General features: G+C 37.6%; 1 long non-coding RNA gene and 1 pseudogene across 4 annotated transcripts in view, besides 3 other annotated features; both read left to right on the forward strand.

Annotated features, from left to right (window-relative positions):
* ZFHX3-AS1 (ZFHX3 antisense RNA 1) overlaps positions 1-26251 on the forward strand; it is a 156522-nt gene that overhangs the window by 39276 nt on the left and 90995 nt on the right. For 2 of the 4 annotated variants that reach the window (NR_171703.1, NR_171704.1), the window contains exon 2: positions 8925-9008. The exons of 1 other annotated variant lie outside the window; for it this stretch is intronic. This is a non-coding gene — a long non-coding RNA (ZFHX3 antisense RNA 1). Of the gene's footprint in view, positions 1-8924; positions 9009-9538; positions 9582-26251 lie in introns of all 4 variants that reach the window. One more of the 4 variants, NR_171702.1, reaches the window with a different exon arrangement.
* Positions 261-1842: an enhancer, noted in NCBI's record as "VISTA enhancer hs20". NCBI's record gives its function as "enhancer in: hindbrain (rhombencephalon)[4/11] | midbrain (mesencephalon)[8/11]" and the evidence as "EXISTENCE:transgenic organism evidence [ECO:0001131][PMID:17130149]".
* Positions 17760-18309: an enhancer, noted in NCBI's record as "OCT4-NANOG hESC enhancer chr16:72756067-72756616 (GRCh37/hg19 assembly coordinates)". NCBI's record gives its function as "activates a minimal SCP1, AML or CMV promoter by ChIP-STARR-seq in naive and primed H9 embryonic stem cells {active_cell/tissue: H9 hESC(naive and primed)}" and the evidence as "EXISTENCE:reporter gene assay evidence [ECO:0000049][PMID:30033119]".
* Positions 18310-18857: an enhancer, noted in NCBI's record as "OCT4-NANOG hESC enhancer chr16:72756617-72757164 (GRCh37/hg19 assembly coordinates)". NCBI's record gives its function as "activates a minimal SCP1, AML or CMV promoter by ChIP-STARR-seq in naive and primed H9 embryonic stem cells {active_cell/tissue: H9 hESC(naive and primed)}" and the evidence as "EXISTENCE:reporter gene assay evidence [ECO:0000049][PMID:30033119]".
* Positions 24157-25555, forward strand: KRT18P18 (keratin 18 pseudogene 18; annotated as a pseudogene).

Below are 26251 nucleotides of genomic sequence, written 5' to 3' on the forward strand. Positions count from 1 at the left end.
GTGAAACCATTTCTACCAAAAAAACAAAACAAAACAAAACAAAAAAATTAGCTGGGCGTAGTGGTGTGTACCTGTAATCCCAGGTACCTTGGAGGCTGTGGTGGGACGATCACCTGAGCCCTGGAGGCTGAGGCTGCAGTGAGCTGTGATTTCACCACTGCACTCCAGCCTGGGTGGCAGAGTTGGCAAAGTGAGACCCTATGTCATAAAAAAAGAAGGAATGGAAAATATGAGAAAAGAACAGGGAGTATCGAATATCCAGGCAGATTTTGGGAGGAATAAAAGGAAGCGCTAGAGATAAAAAACTAAATTCATCGAAATTAAAAGATCCATTTTCAAATAAAAAAATTCTGAAATTTTCCAAGAGGCAAGAAATACTTCCTTCTCTGTTGAACAGTGAGATTCTTTATGTGCACCTTCAAGCCACGTAGCATATTTTGCCAGTGACTTCTGGATCTTAACATGTGACTCCTATAACCTCTGAGAGCTAACTTACTGAGTTCTAGCAAATCTCAAGGCAGCACGCCATGTGTTAGTTACACTGCATAGCCTCTTCAAAATAAACCACAAAATACTCATGTTGATCCTGTGAGATTAAGACAAATTAAAAATCTAATACATAGTTTTGCTGTCAGGTCCTAAAGATCAAAGGTCAACATAGTATATTGCAGTAAGGCTATAGGTTACCCATGCCCCAATATTTTATCATAATAACCCAAATGGGGATGAAACACCCAGCAGTAGCCCATAAATCTATTAGCAGTGAACTGTCAGTGTCCCATATACTAGGGTAATTTGTTAATTCAGACCTGGGTCTCTCTTTTCACTAGACCTTGTAAACTCCTGTTTGAAATATCAATAAACCATCTGCTTTGACTTGTTAATCAAATGACTTTATTCAGTCCAAAGCAGTTTTTTCCTAATAAAAACAGAGTATTTATCTCCATGGCTATAAAAGAGGATTGTTTTCAACTGTTCACTTATAGTTAAGAAGCACATTTCATTTGGATTGATTTCCAATGCTTTGGTCATATCTTGTCACTTTCTATTTCTTACACACAGCATCTCAGTTTAGCCATTTAAGAAGGGAAAAACAGTCAAAATCTGGATGAGGTATGAGACTGGCACAAAAAAATCTGAGGTAGAAGTTTGAGATAGGAAAGAACTCGACCAAAATAATTATAGATCAACATTTTAATATGATTTCCTTGTGGAAGTTTTCCTATCGCTCCAGATAGAGTGTTCACGTTAGTCACGGTTTCTGCCTCAACTGAAGTTCCAGATGTTTGCCTTTTAGTCAGTATTGCTCGGTTCAGAGTCACAGAGCAGATAATATTTATCTATAATAGAAACTTTTTGTCCTCTGTTAAGCTTTATTGTGTTAGTGTAAAATAAAGTCAGCCTCAGTGAGATGGGATCATAGCATGTGAAGCTCTGCAAGTCTATCCCAGAAAATTGACCCCCTTTTCTGTAACCCACCGAACTGAGACAAAATGAGTATTTCTGAGGTATCCGTGGGGATACTCTCAATGCTCTGTGAATGAGCATCTTGAGGAATCGTCACGCTTCTTGCACCCTCTGTCCTTGGAGCTTACTGCCAGCTGGCAAATGGAGCACAGCCTATGACCTCTGACCTTGAATCAGCTCCTCTTGGACTGTTAGAAAAATGATGTCTGAGGAGAGTTCTGAGCATTTGAGTTATTACTAGATTCCGCCCTCTTAAAACACAAAGAAGAAATTTGTAGGTTTCCTTAATAAGCAGAGTCCTCAAATGCAACACAGATCATAGTGCATTCTGGGAATTGTTTCTCAGGGGCATAGCTTCCTTTCCCACTGCAAATCCTTGAACAAATAAAGATTAAGCAGTGAACAAAAAGTGTAATTTAAATGCCTACAGCATTTTTGTAGACTTCTTTTTTATTGAGACATCATTTGGTTTGCCACCATTTTAGGTGTTTTATGTTGAAGGTGGCATCATAGAGGAATGGGAGTCTAAGCAGTCCTGTTCCTCTCACCCTTCTTTATCTTCTCACTTTTACAGAGAGGAGAAAGAGAAAACCTTCTAAGCCCCTAACTCAAATCTTAGGCTCTTTTTTGAGCCTAAGAAAGAAAATGTGAGAAGTATGAAGTTTTATGGCTATAACAATGGATTTCTAATGTGGCAAGTTTTTTTCTAAAATTTTACTTTCATTGATCTTAACATTATTCTCGTGTGATTTTTCTTTTAATATTTCCATAACAAATATGAACCAAATACATAAAAAGTAACTGCTCCTAATGCATGAAATTTGGACAAATATTATTTTTTACTTAATGAATAATATTAATGATTCCATTAATTGAATCCTAGCCTTCACCTTGGCATTATGCCTTCTCACTTAACTAACAACTTAACTAAGAGAGGTGATCAATTATGGACTCTGCTTATGTGTTTAGCGTTCTCCAGACTTTAAGTTATTTTTACAAAGACTAGTGGAGCTGATTTGTCTTGTTGGTATTCTGTTTTCCCCTATGAACATGCAGTTTGAATTTAGTTTTGGTAAAATGTTTCATAAAAAGCTTTACAATGAGGGTCAGTTATAGTGTGGGGGAAAATACATTGGTTATAAGAGACAGATAAAATCAAACAATTCAAAATCCCTTCAATTCAAAATTGAACATTACCTTTTTACCAAAGATGAAGATCCTGCAAGGATGAATAGCATGCTGGGAAGCACTGTGATTAGATTGAGTTAAAAGATCAAGGACCGCACAGAACATTTAGGAAGATGACTAAGCAGTAGGTAGAGACAAGCAAAAGGGGAATAAAAAATTGATTAAAATGTTCCTACCTGGTAAAGCAATAAAATGAAAGGAGCATATACAGTAGTCCCCCCTTATTCACAGTTTTGCTTTCTGTGGTTACAGTTAACAGTGGTCAACTGCAGTCTGAAAATAAATGCGTACCTTACAATAAGATGTTTTGAGAGAGAAAGGCCATAGTCACATGACTTTACTGTATATTGTTATGATTGTTCCATTTTATTATTATTGTTAATCTTTTACTGTGCATAATTTACAAACCAAACTTTATCATACTTATGTATATGTGTGGGGGAAAAAAGGGTAATGTATATGTAGGGTTGGGTACTCTCTGCAGTTTTAGGCATCCACTTAGGGTTATGGAAAGTATCTGCTGTGGATGAGGGGAGACTACTGTAACTGGAAGAACATAGTTATGTACTTCTATTTATTCCAGCAAGACTACACAAGACAATTGTGTTGCATTTTGAACATTATATTAAAAGGAAATTGGAAGAAATTAACAAGACTATATTCACAGACGTTAATGGGTTAAAGGGAACTAATCTCTCAGTCAAGTTTAATGGAAGTTAATATGTATGGCTTGTCTAAGCAAAAACTAAGACAGGCAGTGAACACTTAAAATTTCAAGAAGATATAGAAGCTGTCTAACATGTTACTGGGAGTTATGTATGTAAGAGAACAAATTTATTTCTCATTTCTTCCTAAACATGAAATTTTAAGTTCACCATTAGGAAGTTTTAATCAAGATTCATTAGGCTAAGTTTTAAATATATTCTATAGTGTTCACTCTTATCATTTATCTTGATCTTAAAATTCTTTTATCTGACTGTTTGCTAAATAAGAATTTTAAATCAGGACAGAAAAGATAAAACAGTTTCTGTTATTGGATAGTTTCCCATTATAACACATCTTGATCTTATTAATGGGAAGAAATTTTCTTCATTTGGCTCTTTTCATTGCATAATTTACATGTGTAGATACAGATCTTATAGCCATGTTTTTTTTTTGTTATTGTTTTTTTTTTTGAAATGGAGTTTTGCTCTTGTTGCCCAGGCTGGAGTGCAATGGCATAGTCTTGGCTCACCGCTACCTCCACCTCCTGGGTTCAAGCGATTCTCTTGCCTCAGCCTCTTGAGTAGCTGGTATTACAGGCATGCACCACCACGCCCAGCTAATTTTTAATTTTTAGTAGAGACGGGGTTTCTCCATGTTGGTCAGGCTGGTCTTGAACTGTGGACCTCAGCTGATCCGCCCGCCTCGGCCTCCCAGAGTGCTTGGGTTACAGGCATGAGCCACTGTGCCCAGCCACCATATTTTAAACTAATAGTTTATATTTAAATAAAAAATCAGGAAGATATTTCTATGTGGAAAATTTAACAATGTATTTGCCTATCCATTTAAGAATGATTACTTGGAAACTATAGCAGTTTTCTTCACTTTTGTCTTTCTTTTCATCTAATTTCATATTAAAGATGCAACTTACACTAAGAACTGTATTAGAACACATATATTTCCATTAACTCATCTGAAAAGTAGTAATTTATGACTGATGGTCAAGTACTATTATATAAATAAGGTATTGTTCCAATAATTTATTTTTATATGCATATAGTTACTCAGTGAACTGGGATTCTGGTTTAAAATACAATTCTGACTCAGCTAGATTGGAGAGAGAATCTAGGAATTTGCATTTTAAACCAGCATCATAGATGATTCTTATGTAAATGATATGACTACCATTTTGTGAAAATTTACTTTGACAGTTAAATATGCTTTTAAAAATTAAGGCATGCCGTTTGGTTTCTAGTGATAATGGTAGACTAAGTAATTTGGACCATTCCTAATGCTGACAATAGTTAGAAAGATTGCCAGCGTGGTATCATGGCAAAACCTGATCTCTGCCAAAAATACAAAATATTAGCAGGCTGTAGTGGTGCATGCCTGTGGTCTCAGCTACTCAGGAGGCTGAAGTGGGAGGATCACTCGAGCCTGGGAGGTTGAGGCTGCAGTGAACCATGATCGGGCCACTGTACTCCAGCCTGAGTGACAGAGGACAGAGTGAGACCCTGTTTCAAAAAAAATAAATGAGAAAACTGGATGAAATGGAAACAAAAACCTGAGGCTTTGTAATACTAACAAAATACTGAAAAATTATGAGCCCAACTCAGAGAACATCCAAGAGTGATGTCCGGCACTTAGAAGTGCATTGCCCCTAGGCTGGACACAGTGGTTCATGCCTGTAATCCTAGCACTTTGGGAGACCGAGGTAGGCAGATCACCTGAGGTCAGGAATTCAAGACCAGCCTGGTCAGCATGGTGAAACCCCGTCTCTACTAAAAATTCATAAAGTAGCTAGGCATGGTGGTGGGTGCCTGTAGTCCCAGCCACTTGGATGGCTGAGGCAGGAGAATCGCTTGAACCCGGGAGGCAGAGGTTGCAGTTAGCCCAGATCGCACCACTGCCCTCCAAGCTGGGTGATGAAGGGAGACTCAGTCTCAAAAAGAAGTGTATTCCCTCTTCAGGTGTGTGCCACTTCCTGTAGATGCAAATATCTGCCATTTCCAGTGATGATGGCTAAAAGACTACAAAGCTGAATAGAGATACCCAGAATCATGAAGCCCAGGGGAAAATTGGAGTTCAAGGCCCACAGAGAGGGGAGAAATGTCTAATTAAATCTAAGAGGAAGGTTAAACCTATAATAGACCAGGTCACCCACGCAAGTGAAAACCAACTTCAAATTACTTGAAATCCTAATCTGATTTAGATGACTCATAATTGCTAGTGCCCTTTCCCATCACAGAAACAAATTTAAACCATTTTTAGAGGAAGATGAAATTATCCTAGGCCATCAATTGTCTCACCGCAATGTTTTTGTAAGCACTATTGGTACTCTATCAAAAATAAAAAGCTTAAGAAAGTACTGCCTAATAGAAAACCAAGAGAAGCAACACTCAGTATAAACAGAATCACACAGATGATTCATATAATGGAGTTTGCAGACATATTTCAAAATGGTTGTGCTTAATGTAGGAGTTCTCTATTTATTCCAGATATTTCTTATGAGACATGTGATTTACAAGTATTTTCTCCCATTCTATGGATTGACTTTTTACTCTGTGGATAGTGACCTTTGATACCCAAAAGTTTTTAATTTTGGTGAGGTCTAATTTATCTATTTTTCCTTTTACTGTTTTTCATGTCACTTTTGAGAAATAATTGCCAAATCCATTGTAGTAAATAAAGCTTTTGCCCTATGTTCTGTCCTAAGAGTTTTATAGTTTTGGCTCTTATGTATAGGCTTTTTATTCATTTTTAGCTAATTTTTGCATATAGTATTAGGTAAGGGTCCAAGTTCACCCTTTTGCATATGGATATCCTGTTTTCCCATTACCATTTTTTTTTTTTTTGAGATGGAATCTCGCTCTGTCGCCCAGGCTGGAGTGCAGTGGCACAATCTTGGCTCACTGCAACCTCCGCCTCCTGGGTTCAAGCAATTCTCTTGTCTCAGCCTCCTGAGTAGCTGGAATTACAGGCGCGCGCCGCCACGCCCCGCTAATTTGTTTGTATTTTTAGTAGTAGAGATGGGGTTTCACCATGTTGGTCAGGCTGGTCTCGAACTGCTTTCCTTGTGATCCACCCACCTCGGCCTCCCAAAGTCCCAGTACCATTTTTTGAAAAGACAGTCTTTTCCCCATTGGTCTTTCCCCAGTGGTCTTGGCATCATTGAAGAAAATCATTTGATGATGTATGTTAGGATTTATTCCTGTGCTGTCTATTCTATTATGTTGGTCTATATGTCATCTTTATGCTTGTACCATGCTGTTCTGACTGCTGTGGCTTTGTAGTAAGTTTTGAAATCAGGAAGTATGAATACTCCAACTTAGTTCTTCTTTTTCAAGATTGTTTTGGCTATTCAGAGTCTTTAAGATTCCATATGGTTTTGAGGATGGATTTTTCTGTTTTTGCAGAATATGTTACTGAGATTTTGATATTGAATCTGTACATCACTTTGGGTATTAGTGACATCTTAACAATATCAAGTTTTCAAACCCATTAACCTGTGATATTTTTCAGCAATGTTCTGTTGTTTTCATTATATAAGCCTTTCACATCCTTGGTTAAGTTTGTTCCTAAATATTTTGTTCTTTTGGATGCTATTGTTTATGCATTGTTTTCTTAATTTTCTTCTAGGACAGTTCATTATTAGTGTTTAGAAATGCAACTGCTGTTTGAGTATTCATTTTGCATCCTACTACTTTGCAGAATTCATTCATTCTAGCAATTTTTGTGTGTGGCATATTTAGGAATTTTCTATATAAACAATTATAACATCTGCAAGCAGAGATAATTTTGCTTCTTTATTTGGAATATGTATGTCCTTTTTTTTTCATTTTCTTGACTAATTGCCCTTGCTAGAACTTCCACTACTATGTTGAGTATAGTGGCAAAGTGGACATCCTTGCCTTGTTTCTGGTCTTATAAAAAAAAAAGCTCTCTGTCTTTCACCATTGAGTATGATATTAGCTGTGGGTTGTTCATGTATGGCTTTTATTATGTTAAAGTAGATTTTTTCTATCCCTATTGTGTTGTTTTTGTTATGAAAGGATGTTGAATTTTGTCAAATGCTTTTCTGCATCAGTTGAGATGATCATCTATTTTTTTTCTCTTTCCTCCATTCTGTTAACTTTGTATCTGTTTACATGTATCTGTACATATATTATATCTGTTACATGTTAACATGATATGTTTACATGTATCTATGCATGTAAAATATAAAATGGAAAAAGCCAACTGAAGAAAACTGATTGATTTTCATATGTTGAACCATCCTTGCATTCCAGGAATAAATCTCAGTTAGTTAAGGGTAGGGTATTAAACCTTCAAATATTATTGTAGAATTGTCCTTTCAATTCTTACCATTTTTGCTTCATATATTCTGATGGTCAGTTATAAGGTATAATGTTTATAATTGTTGTATCTTCTTGCCGTATTGAGTCTTTTATTAAAATATATGTCATTTTTAATCTCTTGTAATTTTTTTAAAAATTAGAGACAGGGTTTCACTATGTTGCCCAGGCTGGTCTCGAACTCCTGAGGTCAAGTGTTCCATCTGCCTTGGCCTTCCAAAGTGCTGGGATTATAGTCATGAGCCACCATACCTACCCTCTTGTAATATCTTTTTATGTATTTTGTCTAATATTAGTATAACTGTCCCTGTTCTCTTTTTGTTATTATTTGTATGAAATATCTTTTTCCATCCTTTCACTTTCAACCTATTTATGTCTTTGGATCTAAAATGAGTCTCTTATAGACAGCACATATTTGAATCATGTTTTAAAATCCATTCTGCTGATCTCTGTTTTGATTGAAAAACTGAATTCAATTACATTAAAAGTAATTACTGCTAAGGAGAGACTTCTTTCATTTGCTGTTTGTTTTCTGTATGCCTTATAGCATTTTTTACCCCTCATTTTCTACATTGCTGTCATCTTCAATGTTTAATTAATTTTTTATAGTATGGTGTTTTAATTCCCTTCTCATTTCCTTTTGTGTTTATTCCATAGCTGTGTTCTTTGTGGTTACTATAGGAATTACATTTAACATCCTTAAGTTACAACATTCAAATTTAAACTTACACAAAGTTAACTTCAATAGCATACAAATACAGAATACCATACAAAATCACTGCTTGTATATAACTCCTTGCCATTTCAGTTACCGTTTTGATATCACAAAATTACATCTTTATACATAGACTGATAGTTTTTGTATGTCCAGAAACATAGACTTAATAATTTTTATGCATTAGACTTTGGAGTCATGTACAAACAGAAAGTAGAGTTATAAACTAAAGTTAAAATAATGCTAGTTTTATAATTGCCTACGTATTTACTTTTATGGTTATCTTTATTTCTTCATATGGCTTTGTGTTACTTTCTAGTGTCTTTTATTTCCACTTGAAGCACTCCCTTTACCATTTCTTTATGGGCAAGTCTGGTGGTAACAAACTCCCTCAGCTTTTGTTTATCTGTGAATGTCTTAATTTCTCCCTCACTTTTGAAAGACAATTTTGCTGGATAAAGGTTTTTGGTTAACAGTTTTGTTTTGTTTTGTTTTAGCACTTTGAGTATATTGGCCCACTGCATTCTGGACTTCAAAATTTCTGATGCGAAATATGCTGATACTTTTGTTGAAGAAATCTGGTATGTGATGAGTTACTTCTCTTTCTGCTTTGAAGATACTTTGGCTTTGGCTTTTGACAGTTTGATTATAGTATGTTTTGGTGGGGCCTCTTTGATTTTATCCTACTTGGAGTTAGTTGAGCTTTGTGGATGTTTATATTCATGCATTTCATCAAATTTGGAGAGTTCACACATTATCTTCAAATAATCTCTCTGACTCCTGTTTCAAATAATCTCTCCTCTTCTTTTGGGGCTCTTATTTTAATTAGAGACAGGGTTTCACTGTGTTGGTCACCTTGATTGCCTTAGGCTGTGTTCACTTTTCTTCTTTCTTTTCCTCAGACTTGATAATTTAAATTGTCTTCAAGTTTACGGATTCTTTCTACTATCTGCTCAAACCTGCTTTTGAATATGTCTAGTAAACTTTTTAATTTCAATTATTGTACTTTTCAGGTCAAGAATTTTTTTTAGTTTCTTATGTTTTCTGTCTGTATTGGTGTTTCTACTTTGTTCAAACTATGTTTTCTTGACTTCTTCTAATTTTTCTTTAGGGCTTTGAGCATCTGTAAGATATTTGTTGGAAGGTTTTGTCTGGTAAGTGCCATCTTGTCTTTGTCAAGGACATTTTCTGTTTATTTAATATTTTTTTCGAATGAGCCATACTTTCCTATGGCTTTGTATGCTTTGTGAATTTTTTGTTGATAACTGTACAGAAATTGAACTTTTACTCTGGAAATCACATCCTCCTCTTCCCCAGGGTTTGCTTTAAAAATTTTTGTTTTAGGTTATCTCCATGCTGGGCATCAGCCTGAGGGTTCAACTTAAGATTTTAAAAACTCAAGTTGTTTTCTAAGCCTATGCCTTTCCCTGGGCCTATGCCATGACTTTCTAAATCCTCTGTATATGTGGCTGCATTTGAATCCCTTAGTTCTTAAATACTAAACTCCCAAAAAGAGAAAAAGATAAAACTTTAGGGGCACAAAATATGCTAGTCCTTTAAATCCCCTGGAAATTGATTCAGCTGGGGTGGTAGGGACTTAAAGCAATGGCTGCCTGTCTCTCTGTCTGTCCCTCCATCATGAGCAATCAGTGATTATCAGCATGGCTCCCCAATATTTGGAGCACAGGGCACTTATTGCCCAACCTGGCTCTTATAATTGTGTGCCAACTGCTCCAGGAACACGCTTGCATGGCTGCTTGCTATGGGGCTGGGGGATGCGGAATGCGTAGCTGCCACCTTGCTAAGAGCTACCTGAAAATAATCACTGTTTACTGTCCAAGCCTTCCTCTAGAAGTTGCAAGCCTTCAAAGTAGTTCCCAGTGTTTTAAAATAGTTATCTTAGATTCTGCCAATGAAATTTTTGTCTAGGTGGTGAGATGGATTCTTGGTGTCTCTTACTCCACTAATTTCCCAGAATCCTCTGCCCCACAAGTGTGTCACACCTCAAATAATCACCACTTCTTTTAGGCCAGGCCGGCCATGCTTCTACTAATTTGTCTCTCTCAAAAACTGTCTAGGTTTTCATGTTTGGTTCCAATTCACTCTATATGCCAAAACCCACACCCACAATTCTTTTTTAGACATGCTGTTCTCTTTAGACTTATATTACAGGTACCTGGGGGTACATCACATATCTGTGGGAGTAAGCCTTTTATATTTCTAGAAGTCACCCTTTTTTCTCAAGTAGAGATGACCTGTGAGGCACCTCTATCTTTCAGAGGTCTTAGCACAGGGTCTGACAGCCGTATTCTTAATGTGGTCTTTACCCATTTCCCTGGGTTTGATCTTCTCTCTGAAGCTATTTCTTAATGGCCATAGCTTTTACTTGGTACCACAGTTTTATTTTACAATTCTAAAATGTCTGGACAATTCATTGTCACTTTAATCCTACTTGGAAATGGACCACTTTTTTTGATGTCATTTCTTTCTTGTAGTACCTTACCAAATGCAGCACAAAACAGACAGCTCATGTGTTCATTTTCCCTCATATTCTACTACCTGAACTCCACAAGTTTATTATATAATTTTTCTCTCATATTATCCCATGCAACATTCTTACCAAATGTTTTGCCACTATGAGTCATCATTTTTCTAGTCTTCTGTAACTGTTTTCCTTGCCATTTTCCAGCTTGCTATTTTAGTTTCATACTACTTGCTTTCTGATTCCAAATCTATCACATTATTTTAGGTTTTTGCTACTGGAGCATCCTATGTCTAGGTTACCATCTTCTCTATCTATTAGCTTTTGCTACAGTAACGCTTCTAATTTAGTGACAAAAATAATTTATTTTTTCTCATGCATCTTGGGATGAACAGATCTAAGTTTAGCTTGGCTTCAAACTGGAGTTTGGGTCCAGGTCTACTGTTCTTCCTTAGAAGTCAGGACATAATCTCATGGTGATGGTGGAAGCATGGGCAAGTTCAGTTGAATGAGTGCAATTCAAGGCTCTGATTGCAGCACAGTTACTAACTTCTCAAGGCAGAGTGAGTATATGACTGAACCCAAAGTCAAAGGGCAGGGAGGGTACCCTGCCTCTAGTTTAAGGAACAGCAGTCATGTGGCAAAGGATATGGATACAGGAAGGGGTGAAGAACTGGAACCAATAATACAATGTACCAATCATTCAAATCTTAACGAAACATATATGGGAAAGGTATATTAATATCATATAAGGATGTCATTTAAAAACATATTAGAGAAAAATAGTGATACTTCTTGAGAAAATATTTAATTCACCTGGAAACTAAAATAATTCTGAAAATGTATGCACCTCATAACATAGCCTCAAAATGTAAACTTACAAGACAAGGAGAAATGCAAATTCATATTTACAGTAGAAGATTTTAACATACCATTCCCAATAACTTTTTGAACAAACACAAATTTATAGAGGGAAAATTTGAACAACACAATTAACAAACATGACTTATTTATTTTGTATGTAAAAACTTCAGAATACATAACTACATAATACCCATTATTTTTAAGTGCACACAACACTTAAAAATTGGACCATTGTCTCAGGTAGTTCAGGCTGTTTTGAGAAAGTATCATAGACTGGGTTGCTTATAAAGAACAGAAATGTGTTCTCTTGTTTCAGAGTTTGGAAGTCCAGGGTCAGGGTGCCAGCACGGTTGGGTTCAGGTGAAGGCCTTCTTTTTGCTTGTAGATTGTTGTCTTATTGTATCCTAAGATGGCAGGAGGAGAGGTCGAGAACTCTCTGGGATCTCTTCAAAAAGGGCACTAATCTCATTCATAAGGGCTCCTCTCTTATGATTTTAATTACCTCCCTAAGGTCCCACCTTTTAATACCATCACATTGGTGATTGGGAGTTCAACATATGAATATGCGGGGGGTAGGGGCGCACATATATTCAGTCTATAACAACTATATTTTAGCCATAGAGTACCAACAAATTTCAGAGAAAATTGAAATCAGATGGAGTATAATCTTAGATTACTATGGAATTAAACTAGAAAAGAACAACGTAGAGATAATTAGAAAAGCTCTGTGTTTTTGGAAATTTCAAAATACACTATTAAATATCCCATGCCTTGAGAAAAATCACAATAGAAAAATAGGAAATATTTTAAAATAAATTATAATCAAAATACTTTATATCAAAATTTGTGGGGGGCATAGCTAAGGGATGCTTATAGAAGAAGGATCTTAACTTTAGATGCCTATATTAGAAAAGAAAAAAAAACAAAAACTCAGTGATCTAAGCATCCAGCTGAAGAAAGTAGAAAAAAGAGCAAATGAAAACCAAAAAGAACTAGAAGAAAGAAAATAATTTAAAAATAGCAGTTAATGAAATAATAAACAAACATTCAATATAGGACATCAGCAAAGCCAAAAATTGGTTCTAGAGGAAGGATAAGAAAGGCATAACTAACCAAATTCAGGCCTTAAAAAGAAGGTCTGGGTGCACACTGGAATTATCTAGAGTGTTTTTTTTGTTTTTTTGTTTTTTTTAATATTGATGCCCAGGCCTCTCATATGGTCAATTACATCAGAATTTCTAATTGTAATCCTGCATTAGTATATTTATTGAGTGCCCCCGTTGATTCTAATATGAAGCACAGGTGAGAACCATTGATATAGCAAATAACATTTTGATATCATTCCAACCTTTTTGCTTATACAATTTTTATATAAATACGTTCTTGCCTAACATACAGTTTTGAAACCTTTTGCGTTTACCAGCATATCATTATCTTGCTGTAGCAGTAAATATACTTCTGCCACTACATTTTAATAGTTGTACTACATTTTAATAGTTGTGTAATATTCCATAATATGGATATATTATCATTTGTGTAACTATATTGAGCACTTAAATTTTCAATAGCAAAAACAATGCTAAGATAATATCTCTGTAAAAGTGCTTTTCCAAGCCTGGGCAACATGGCAAAAACCCAACTTCACAAGAAATAAAAAAATTGACCAGGCATAGTGGTGCATGCCTATAGTCTCTGCTGCTCAGGAGGCTGAGGTGGGACGATCACCAGAGCCCAGGGCGGTTGAGGCTGCAGTAAGCTGAGATTGTACCACCACAGTCCAGCCTGGGTGACTGAACAAAACCATATCTGCCCCCCCACCAAAAAAAATTACTTTTCAGCTGGCATAGTGGCTCATACCTGTAATGCCAGCTACTCAGGAGGCTGAGGTGGGAGGATCACTTGAGCCCAGGAGTTTGAGGCTACTGTGAGCTATGATTGTTCTACTGTATTCCAACCTGGGTGACAGATACCCCTTATGAAAATAATACCAATAAATAAAAGCATTTTTCACTCATCTACAAATAGCACGCATTAAAAAATTATTTATTAAAACATTTTCTTGTGGGTATGATGAAATAATGTGTGTGACAGGTGGTAACTGAATTTTTATCTTACATGCTCACTTAGGAATTAGCTAGGTTAGTAAGGCTGAAAGAGATGTATTAATATGTGTTTTGCTGACCATTTCCCCAGCAAAATGCCTTATTTACAGAAGGCATACAAAAAGCCCAGGCACAGTGGCTCATGCCTGTAATCCCAACACTTTGGGAGGCTGAGGTGGGTGGATCGTTTCAGGTTAGGAGTTCGAGACTAGCCTGGCCAACATGGTGAAACTCCATCTCCAGTAAAAATACAAAAATTAGCCAGGTGGTAGTGGTGTGCGCCTGTAATCCCAGCTACTTGGGAGGCTGAGGCAGGAGAATCGCTTGAGCCCAGGAGGCGGAGGTTGCAGCGAGCCAAGATCGTGCCACTGTATTCCAGTCTGGGTGACGGAGTAAGACCCTGTCTCAAAAAAAAAAAAAAAAAAAGGCGTACAAAAATGTTTGTTGAAGAAGTGAATAGATTTAATTCCTCAGAACTAATCTCAATTGGTAGAATATGTGGACTTGTTACATTCAAAAGAAAGATCATACAATTTTGGGAGCAAACCCAGTATCAGAAACCAAAGTTGGAATCTGTAAACTAAAATCTTTTGCTTTGAAATTAATATATAAGAATGAGAATGATTATTGAGATCTATGCTCAGCTAGCCATGAACCAAGAATTCAACTCTTATCTGTCTAGAAGAGGGGCGGGAAAAAGCTCTCTTATGGTTAACTGCTGCCCCTCCTAGGTACTTTGGTTTTCTGCTGCACTGAAGCCAGAATGATTTTATGTTGCAGTAAAAAATAACATGCTTACAATATTAATACACTATTATGGAAAATATTAGAAAATTTAGCTGAGCAAAAATAATACAAATAACACTCATAATTCTATCATTTTCAAATAACAATTTTTCTTTGGGGGGGCAGTATTTTTTTATCAACCTAAAAGAAGTACTTTATACCTCCCACATTTTTACAATCCCTGTCATTCATTTTTGTTCACTGTGTATAACCTTTGGAATTTGGGTGTTTGATATCCATGGAAGAAGCAACACAACATACATCTTTTAACTTATTATACCATTGGCTGCCATTCCCCAGCATTCATTCATTCATAATTCAGTCATAGATTTTTTTTTTTTTTTGAGACGGAGTCTCGCTCTGTCGCCCAGGCTGGAGTGCAGTGGCGGGATCTCGGCTCACTGCAAGCTCCGCCTCCCGGGTTCATGCCATTCTCCTGCCTCAGCCTCCCAAGTAGCTGGGACTACAGGCGCCCGCCACTACGCCCGGCTAATTTTTTTTTGTATTTTTAGTAGAGACGGGGTTTCACCGTTTTAGCCGGGATGGTCTCGATCTCCTGACCTCGTGATCCGCCCGCCTCGGCCTCCCAAAGTGCTGGGATTACAGGCGTGAGCCACCGCGCCCGGCCTATAGATGTTTGTTAAACTCCTACTTTTTCCATTCATTCTGCTACCTTTTGAGAATACAGTGGTAATCAAAAACAGACATGGTCCCTACCCTCGTGGAGCTCTCAGTGGATTTGAAGAGTCTGTCATGAATTTAAAAATGACACAATAAATGTAAACCTGCCACTGTAATAAGTTCTATGAGAGAAAGGAACATGAGTTTGTAACAGGAAAATTTGATCTAGTCAGAAAAGGCTTTCTTAATGAAGTGATAAATGAGGTGATATTTGAAGGAAAAGTAAAGCAGGGAGGGAGGAGCCTTCCAGGGAAAGGTACCGATATGTGTAAAGCCCTGGGACAAGAAAGACTGGGAATGACAGAGAAAGGAAGCCAGCATGGCTAGTGTAGAGACAAGGAACTGGAGAGGAAAGTAGGGGCCAAATCATGCAAAAGCCCTGAAGTAGGAGCATGCCTAGTGCGCCCAAGCAGCAGCAAGGATTTCGCCATGGCTGGAGGGACATGAGCAAGGAGAGAAGAGTAAAAAATGAAATTGGAGAGGGAACAGTTGGAGAGTGTGCCAGGTAGTTTTGCAGTACTATCCAATAGCACTTTCTGCGATGATGGAAATGCTCTGTCTGCACTGTTCACTATGATAGCCATTACTCACTTGAAATTGAGCACTCAAAACATAGCTAGTGCCATTGAGGAACTGCATATTTAATTTTAGTTAATTTTAATTTAATAGCCTCTAGTTGTAGTGTACGGTATGCTAATGAACACTTGAAGGGTAGATAGTGTAGTGGAGAAACTGAATTTTTAAAATTTTACTTCATTTTATTTAAATGTAGGAACAGCCACATGTGGCTAGTGGCTACCATGTTGGATAGAACAGTTACAGCCTTGTGACCTTTGGCTTTTACTCTGAAGTAATTAAATTTGAATTACCTAAGGCCTGTAGCTAAATTGGTATTTTGTTTTACTTTTAAGCAAAATAATAAACTTTCCTTTTTTGATAGGATAAAGGAGAGGTGAAGATATATAAGAGCCTAAAGAAATACATAATTTCCTTGAGTCATATTTTTAATTGATATCTTAAGATGCCCTCCAAAAGGTGAAATGTAAGTGGTGACAGCATATGTAACTTTTTCTTTCCTGCTTCAGCTTAATGTCTGTTGCTCATTAAAGGATGAGATAGTTTGTCTCAGTTAACATTCTCATAGAACATTTCACTTTTTCTGTCTTTTGTCATTTGTTAACCTATGTATATATTTGTATAACTATTTTATATCTTCTGTGCAACACCCAACCATAAGATTATTATATTATTTAGGGCAGGGACTGTGCCTGTCTTATTCACATAGAATCCACAGTATATGAAATCCTAGTAGTCGATTAATGAATATTTAATAACTGAATAAATGAATAAAGTATTCAGCAGTCTCATCTCTACTGTACTCATCCATCTTCTTATTTATCCATATTGACTGTTACCCCCTCACCACTGGGCATACAGGGTTAAAGGACTCTCCCTAACCTTCTATTCATCCCAGTTACTTAAAACTATTGATAAGCATAAGTCTGTCTATTATCCACAATCCATGAAGCAGAGACCTTCTCCCATCCAATAAAAAAGATTTATCTTTTTAAAAAAATATTTAAATAACACCTGAAAGTGAGACCCAAAGGAACTGATAAAAAGATAGCCTGGTGACCTCTGTAGCTCAGAACTGAATTACTTTACAGCGACAACCCACTCTTTGTCCCTCATAACCTCTCAACTTTTATATAAGTCATAAGATTCTACCTTATTTTAAATGAATAGCCCATTTTGACAGAGTAATGATGGTATGTGACAAATGGCACTTGTCTCATGGCATTTCCCTTAGCTAGCTTTACACAATTCAGTTATTGTTAGGTGACTTCAAGATACACCCTTAAGTTGGTTTTGTCTTTGAGATTGATTCTCTCCAAGAACCCTCAGTTCTGGTTCCACGCACATGATAGAAAGGCCTTCAGTTATTTTGGCTCATGGTAGGACTGCTTTCTCCCATTAGAGAGTTGGAGGATTATTGGAAAATCCTAGTACAATTTCTGAAGTACAAACTTAACCACAGAGACGTTTCCCCACATGAAATGTTTAGTGACAGTTGGGGTGGAAATAGGGGTCCATTGACCTGGGTGTCAGTCCTAACATACCCAGTTCACTGTGTCACCTTTAATAATGTACAGTTTGTGCTTCAACCTAGAATCTGCAGAGACTCTCTCCTGTTCCTTACCCCTTTCATTGATACCAGAAGTAGTAGAAAGATTGACCTTTGTGAAGCTTACTAAAATTCTTCTGCATCTTCAGGTAATTCACAGGGATGAGGAAAATAAAAAATAGAAAAAAATTAATAAAATTCTTCTACAAAACTGCAATACCGTGCAGAGATTATTGAGAAGGTGTGTGCAGAATTGCTGGTTTTTCAAACTAGATAAAACAGTAGTACCTATTCAAGTCACCACCACAGGGGGCCTCCTAAAAATAGACCGACTGCTATGTGATAGCTTAGGACGTTTTTATTGATATCATCTCTTGTCCTGCCGAAAGAAAAGCCTTGAGCCTGGAAGGAGGAATTAGAGTGTATTTTCCTAGGAAACTGGTGCCACAGTAAACTGTATGTCTGTTTGTTCTTGAAGCTGACCTAGCAATTACCTTGGAATACTAGGGCTCTATATTTTTCTAAATGTTTTTTCCTTCTACTTCATCATTCCTGATGAAAGAAAGAAAACAGTATAAAGAAAAGCTACAGGTTACTCTGAATACACACCAAGTTTTGTTGGGGAGTAGTTGTCTTAGGTGACACTCTGACCACAGCACTAAGAGCTACACTGGTGTAGTGAGGAAAGCGTGGCCCTTTTGAATCATAACGTGCTGTTCATTTCTATTCCCATTGCTTCTCCTAGGATTTCTTATCTCTTGCCCTAGCAAACCATAACACATAGACACACACACCCATCCCTGTCCAGTGCACCCAGTGGGGGGGAGGGGGCAGAGAAGACAAAGTCATTTATGTAATGTGTCTCCCTGCTGAGCCCCTAATGGCCGAAGCTTTTGTTCTGCATTCAGTGGCTGCATGTGATGGGCAGGAAGCCGCAGTCTCCCTTTGTTCCATGGCCTTATTCAGCAATTTAGATCCATCATAAAAATCAAATATGCATGTTGCAGTCGCCTTCCATACAACAGCTTCAATTTTCACCTTTTTTTAATTTGAACTCCACAGGGGAAGAAAGAAAATGAAGGGAGAAAGGGAAAATGGGGGTAAGAAAAAAAATTGCTTTGTGTTTTTGCTTAGTGGACTGTGAAAATAGGCAGTCACAAAAAGAAAATTTTTTTAATTTCATAGATGCATCCCATTCAGAATAAGACATGCTACCAAATTAGGCCTCTGGAAATGCTCTCACACCGTCCTAGTTAACTCAGGTTCCAAAACTTGGACGTGAAATGATGGGAAAAGAGAAAAATAGAACATTATAAAAGGGTAGAAAGAGGAAGACTCTTTAGGGCTTGAAGAATCATCCTGTTCAGAGAGGTACCTCCATACCACTTATAATTATGCCAAAAAGAATGTTTTATGTTCAGCTGATTGTCATGAGTTTCTTTTGTAAAAGAAATGATTTGGAGAAAAGGTTCATAGAGGGAATGAGAGAGAGATTACACTTAAATATATATTTCCTCTCTGAATAAAAATGAACACATTGGCAGAGATGTTTTTGTCCACTTATTGATTTGCACACAATATTTAAAATTTTCCCAGAACTTCAAAGGATATGTTCCCTGGAGTTCAGATAAATTTGCATCAGCAGGTTTGGTATTGATTATGCAGAAAAACACAGAAACCTTTTACCTACTCCATTGTTAGACTCAAGCAATGACTTTACAGAAGGGTGCATTGCATGCCCTAATATAAACAATATGGCCAATATTTATTCGATTTATTAAAAAATGAAAGATCTGAAGAAGTGTGCCTCTTTATGCCTGGTTTCACTTACTAATATAGATTTTGAAGGCTCATGCTAAACTTGAAGCCAGCCAGTTTGAAGATACTTTGCCTGTTCTTAGAAATGGAGCTTTTACAGGGTAATCCCAGGGAGATTGCTGTTGTCAACATTATACAGATACTGAACATAATATAGGATGGGTACAAACTGAACGAGTGATCTTGAGGCTCATTCAAGGTTGAAAAAACCTTTCATTGTCTGGAGTGGAGCTTCTTCTGGAAGATGTACCAAATGAGTCTGGGATCAAAACCAATTTCGCAAGTTTGATCGAGTCATAATATGGAAATCCACCAGATTCTGCTATGACTAATTAGAGGTGTGTGAAGAAGGTTTCCCTTCCCCAACATTATTGATTTTTCTTTCAAACTCCCCAGTTTCACGGGGAAAATCTCTGGCATTTAAAAGTGTTCAATTTAGTACAGTTCATTGATGCATGTAATCTTTGCTAACTGCATCTCATTTTCTCTGAACTGGATTTTTCAGGCCCTCTTATGTCTGGGTATATTTTTTATTTACTCTATATTTTAAGTGAAATCAAAGATGTACCCAGAACATACAAATACTGAGAGGATACATTTAATATTTGGATTTTTTTTAGTTGCAAATTTTCCCTTTTCTCCACTGGAAATAATGGGCAATTACAAAAAAGTGTAATTTTAAAAAGTGGATTCCACACAATTTAAGCCTACATGAGTGAAGAGATTTGTATATGTCTTGAATCATTCTATCCTGGAAAAAGCAATAAAGATGGAGAAAAGCACCAGGAAATTTACAACACTGGATAAAATCTGTGATTGTATACCATCATAACTGAGGCAAAAGCTATGGCTCTATGCCACCTCAAGCCGTCTCATTCCATCTTACTTTTTAACACTACTCCATATTTTTAGGATATTATAGACAGATAGCATACTGTAACTTCTTGTTAAAGTTAGGGCCACATGCTGGCATTTTATGTTTTCAAATTCCTTCATATGAGGAAAGATGCTACACAGATGTATTAAATGATAACCATTTCATATTGGAGAGTGAAACCTTTATCTTCGAATTCAAGGTAATTTAATATATAAGGGTATATTTTTAATTGAATATCTTCCTCTTCCCTATCATATGGCAACTTTGTCCTCAGTTGTTTCTTCCCAAGAAATAAGTTGTAGAAGGCCTAGAGGAAAAATTGTTTCAGGAGACCTTGTTTGCATTTCAGGTCATTCCAACTACTATTCTTACCTCTACTTTAAACAAAAAATACATACTAAACCAATGATAGGTCTCACTTACTGAAGTCTTTTCCTCTGCAATCACACAGATGTTGAGAGTGTAGCCTCCGAATTAGACAATCTCAGTTCAAGTTCTGACTCCATCCTTGACTAGCTCTGTGACCTTGGACGATTTAAGCTTGAGTGTCTTAATTCGTAAAATGAATATATGAGGATAATAACACTTAATGTATAGGATCATGTAAGTTAAATGAGATTAAGTATTGTCACAGGTTGCTTTCCTAGAGAAGCAGACCTGAGATTAACATTCAGTGTATTTATTAGGGGGTGCTGTCAATACCTGTGGAAGGTGAGCTGCGGTGCATTCCAACAAAGACCTCAGCCAACACTGAGGCAGGTTTTTTTCAGCTTCCTGGGAGCTGACAACAACTAAGGGGTGTCGTCTTTTAGCAGTCTTTTTAGCTGTGGAAATAAATCCTTTATTCTTTATTTTAGGGGGAGTTGGGTGGCACATTACAATGTCTATTAGAAGAGTTTAGTAAGCACTCAGTAAATATTAGCTATATAATAGTGTCAATGTATATTTACCTGGGAGACCATTCTTAGTATCCCAAACAGTTGCTTTCATTATATATTTTAATAGTGCTTTAGTAAGAGCATGGCTCTGGAACTGGATTTGAGGCCCGATTTCCTAATTGGCAGCTGAATAACACTAAGTACATTAGTCTCTCTGTGTCTCAGTTTCCTCATTTGTGAAATGGAAATAATAATAGTACTCATTCTCATAGGATTGTTATGAGGATTAAATATGTTAATAGTTACACTTTAAACAGTGCCTGGCATATAATACATGCTCTGTAACTGCTCGTGCTTGTCATCATCATTATTATTTTTCTGCTCTCAATCAAGTTAAGCATGTACAGTGAGTCCTCACTTAACATCATTGAGAGGTTCTTGAAAACTGACTTTAAGTGATTCAACAAATAAACCAATTTTTAATCATCAACATTATAATAACAGTGTTATTCGAAGACCTGATATATCTTGTTTTACTTAAAGTCAGTTTCCAAGAACCTATTGATGATAGTGAAGATTTACTGTAGTCAAAAACTACTTTGGAATCAGACAATGCTGGGTTTAAATCCCAGCTCTGTCACTTACTAGCCATTTTGACGTCGAGCATGTTACTTAATCTGTGATCCTCAGTATTCTTATCTGTCAAAAAGAAGTAATATGTCTAACCTTATAGAAAGCACCAAATATATGAAGGTATTATGAACTTATGTTTTAGTTTCTTTTCTGAAATGTAGTAATAACCCCACCCTTGGGATGTCCTGAAGATTATGTGAGTTCATTCATGAAAAGCACTTAGAATGGTACCTGACACAAAAGTATGTGTTCAGTGAGTGTTAGCTAATATGATGGTGATGATGACAACTGTATAAAGGACTCTGCACCATGCCTTGCGTATCATAAGCACTCAAATATTACTTTTGAAGCTCTCCGTGAATGTTTTCTTTATTTCTTCCTATTAGCCTTTCTTTTACATTCCAGCTGGCCTGCTGGACCTTTATTCTTGTGTATTCCTTTCCTCTTCCCTCACATGCTTGTAAGGATTTTGAATGTTATATATGGGCCAATAATAAACCATATCCTCTGACATCCTTAAAAAACAAAAGACAAAACCTTCTACTTTGTTTTTATTCTGGAGACAATAAGGCTGATGAGTGATTAAACATTGTCTTCAAGTACACAAAGGTTCTTGCTACAGAAAGGTGGCTGCCAGCTCTCCATCTTCAGGACAGAAGAAGAGAAATTTACTTCAGTGGAGCATACAAACACAGCATGGAAGACAAAAGAGGATGATAGACTGTCTAACTCTGAGAGGCTAAAAACAAAGAATATTCTTAATGTATTTAGAATGGCTATGTGCATGTGTTTCCAACCAAAGGGAAGAGAAAATTCTAATGAAATCCCTTTTAGCCCCATACTTCTGATTGTGTTATCCTCAAATATTTTAACTATAAATATTACCTGGTAATGTGTACCTTGCTTGTCCTGTGTTCTTTTGTCATATTATTATTCATAATAGCTGGTGTCCGTTATAAACCAATCAGAAAAAGGTCTTGGTTTGGGATAGACATTTATTATTCATAAAGGCTAAAAACTGTTTCTCCTTGCAATAATATATAATAAAAAAATAAGCATAGCCAAAATTTTCATTTGCATTCCAGAGGAAATAGTCTGAATAAATTCACCCTATTCATACACAGGGTTTTTTTTTTTTAATATCGTTTTAAACACTGCTAAGTGTTAACGTTTTACATTAAGTTATTACTTTGACAGGGATTTGATAATATAATTATGGCCTTTATAATCATGTAGAAAATCATGTTAATTAAATAAACAAAAACTGAAGGAAAATGAACATTTTGATTGGGTTTATTTCATCAGAAGAATCAGACATCTCAAAATAGAAGCAGACATCTGTGGAAATGAAGAAAAATCTACAGTTCTTAAAAACCTAGACTCTCTGCTAAGGATATTATATAGAGATCTAGGAAATAGCTCAGCTTTAAACATACCCCTTAATAGATATATTAAAGCCGAATTTCCTTCTTCCCCTCTTTTTGTTTAATTTTCTTTTAAAGCTGTGTTTTTAATGGCAGATGAAGCTATCTTTTTTTTTATACTTTGAACAAGTATGGCATCTTTTACCCAGGAATCTCAAATTCCCACAAATTTCATACATAGTAGTTGTTATATGTAAAATATACAAAACATGAGGCTTCCTGCAAATTCCTGGCAGGGTGTGGAGCGGGTGTGGTGGGTATATGCATTATATCCCATTGTTTTTGGGAATTTTTTTTGGGTTCCTAGTGATGATTATTCCCACTGAAGTGATGATTATTCCCATCTGTGCCCAGTTGGCATGTTTTTTAGAGGCTTTTATACCACAGCAGAGTTCCCAATGATACTTTATCATTTAGACCTCCTTAAAAATATGAGGGAGCTAGAGTGATTTTATTTTAATTAAACACTTCAGGACTTTTATTTTTGTCTTTTCATATTTTTATGTTTGGCATGTAGTAGGTACTCAATAATAGTTGAAGCCATGAAAATCTTTGGTCATTTTCAAAGTGATTCTTTTGGAATCCTATGTATTTATTATATCAGTGTCCAAAACAGTTCTGGAATTGCCCTCAGAGCTTGTGTTAGAGTCTTTTGAATATACTTATCTTTGCAGGTCAATTAATATTTATTTAGTGTCTATAATATATATATTTCAATTTTTTTTGTAGAGATGGGGGTTCTCACTATGTTGCCCATGCTGGTCTTGAACTCCTGGCCTCAAGCAATCCTCCCGCCTTGGCCTCCCAAAGTGTTTGGATTACAGGGATAAGCAACTACACTTGGCCTGTGCTTTTTAAGTATCATGATTTCACCCATTAGCTTATTTACTGCAGTTGGAGCTATTGCACAGCAGTCTCCCTTGTGTCAGGAACAGTTAATAAGTACTGAAGGTGGACAGTGAGAAATAATAAGATAAAAATAGAATAATAAGAAATGGTTCTCTTCCAAGAGTTATAACTTAGAAATATACATTCAAATTAACATACTAGAAAATACAGGTCGTCGGCAAAGCCTGAGTCCTGTCCTCTCACTCTCCTCTGTGGACAGCATGAACTTCACCACTCGCTCCACCTTCTCCACCAACTACCGGTCCCTGGGCTTTGTCCAGGCGCCCAGCTACAGTGCCCGGCCAGTCAGCAGCATGGCCAGCGTCTATGCAGGCACCAGGGGCTCTGGTTCCTGGATCTCCATGTCCCACTCCGCCAGCTTCTGGGGCGGCATGGGGTCTGGGGGCCTGTCCGCGGGGATGGCTGGGGGTCTTGCAAGAATGGGAGGCATCCAGAACAAGAAGGAGACCATGCAAAGCCTGAAGTACTGCCTGACCTCCTACCTGAACACAGTGAGGAACCTGGAGATGGAGAACTGGAAGCTAGAGAGCAAAATCCGGGAGCACCTGGAGAAGAAGGGACCCCAGTTCAGAGACTGGAGCCGTTACTTCCAGACCATCAAGGACCTGAGGGCTCAGATCTTCGCAAATACTGTGGACAATGCCTGCATCGTTCTGCAGATTGACAGTGCCCGTCTTGCAGCTGATGATTTTAGAGTCAAGTATGAGACGGAGCTGGCCGTGCACTAGTCTGTGGAGAATGACATCCATGGGCTCTGCAAGGTCATTGATGACACCAGTGTCACTTGGCTGCAGCTGGAGACAGAGATCAAGGCTCGCAAGGAAGAGCTGCTCTTCATGAAGAAGAACCACGGAGAGGAAGTAAAAGGCCTACAAGCCCAGATTGCCAGCTCTGGGTTGACCTTGGAGGTAGATCCCCAAATCTCAGGACCTCGCCAAGATCATGGCAGACATCTGGGCCCAATATGACAAGCTGGCTCGGAAGAACAGAGAGGAGCTGGACAAGTACTGGTCTCAGCAGATTGAGGAGAGCACCACGGTGGTCACCACGCAGTCCGTCAAGGTTGGAGCTGCTGAGACGACACTCACGGAGCTGAGATATACAGTCCAGTCCTTGGAGACTGACCTGGACTCAATGAGAAATCTGAAGGCCAGCTTGGAGAACAGCCTGAGGGAGGTGGAGGCCCGCTACACCCTGCAGATGGAGCAGCTCAACGGGATCCTGCTTTACCTGGAGTCAGAGCTGGCACAGACCCGGGCAGAGGGGTAGCGCCAGGCCGAGGAGTATGAGGCCCTGCAGAACATCAAGGTCAACCTGGAGGATGAGATCGCCACCTACCGCTGCCTGCTGGAAGATGGCGAGGACTTCAATCTTGGTGATGCCCTGGACAGCAGCAACTCCATGCAAACCATTCAAAAGACCACCACCTGCCGGATAGTGGATGGCAAAGTGGTGTCTGAGACCAATGACCCCAAAGTTCTGAAACTTTAAGCCAGCAGAAGCAGGGTACCCTTTGGGGAGCAGGAGGCCAATGAAAAGTTCAGCGGTCCAAAACAAAAAAAAAAAAAGAGAAAATACAGTGTTATAGCAGATAAATGTATACAGTGGAATCGACAAGGTCTCTGGGTGAGCATCATGGAAGAGGTGGCATTTCAGATCTCGATGGATATAGATAGGAAAATATGGGAGAAGCGTATAGCAGGAAAAGAGAAAATTGTAAGCAAAGACCCCAAAGCAGAAAAGCATTTGGTTCAGTCAGAGAATGGTGAGACAGAAAAAGAAACGGAGATAGAATTTTGGAGCTAGAGTCCCGGGGTACTAACCTCAGTGCTGAAACATACCGTGTCCTTTGACAAGTGACTTGAACTGTGTCTTGGTTTTCTTCTCTGTAAAATGGGGATAAGATTTGTACCTACATCACAGGGTTGTTATGAGGAATAATATATAATAATACATCTAAAACAATGCCTGGCACATAACAAGCACCATGTAAGTGTTAGAAAATGAGAGAGTGGAGTATCTTCTCTACTGTACTGGAAGCCACTGAAGGTTTTTGAGCAAGGTGGTGAAAAGATAGGCGTTATACTTTAAGAGTATGATCCTGGCACTACTGTGTACAGTTGATCATGAGAGAGATGCTAGTTAAGAGAGATCCTGGGAAGGGGAAATGCCAGATTGCACTGGAGCAATAGCTATGGGAATGAAAAGGAGGGGGTGGATGCAAGAAACACTGGAGGGTCCCCAT

Source organism: Homo sapiens, chromosome 16 (genome assembly GCF_000001405.40).
Source record: "Homo sapiens chromosome 16, GRCh38.p14 Primary Assembly".
NCBI classification, from domain to species: Eukaryota; Metazoa; Chordata; class Mammalia; order Primates; family Hominidae; genus Homo; species Homo sapiens.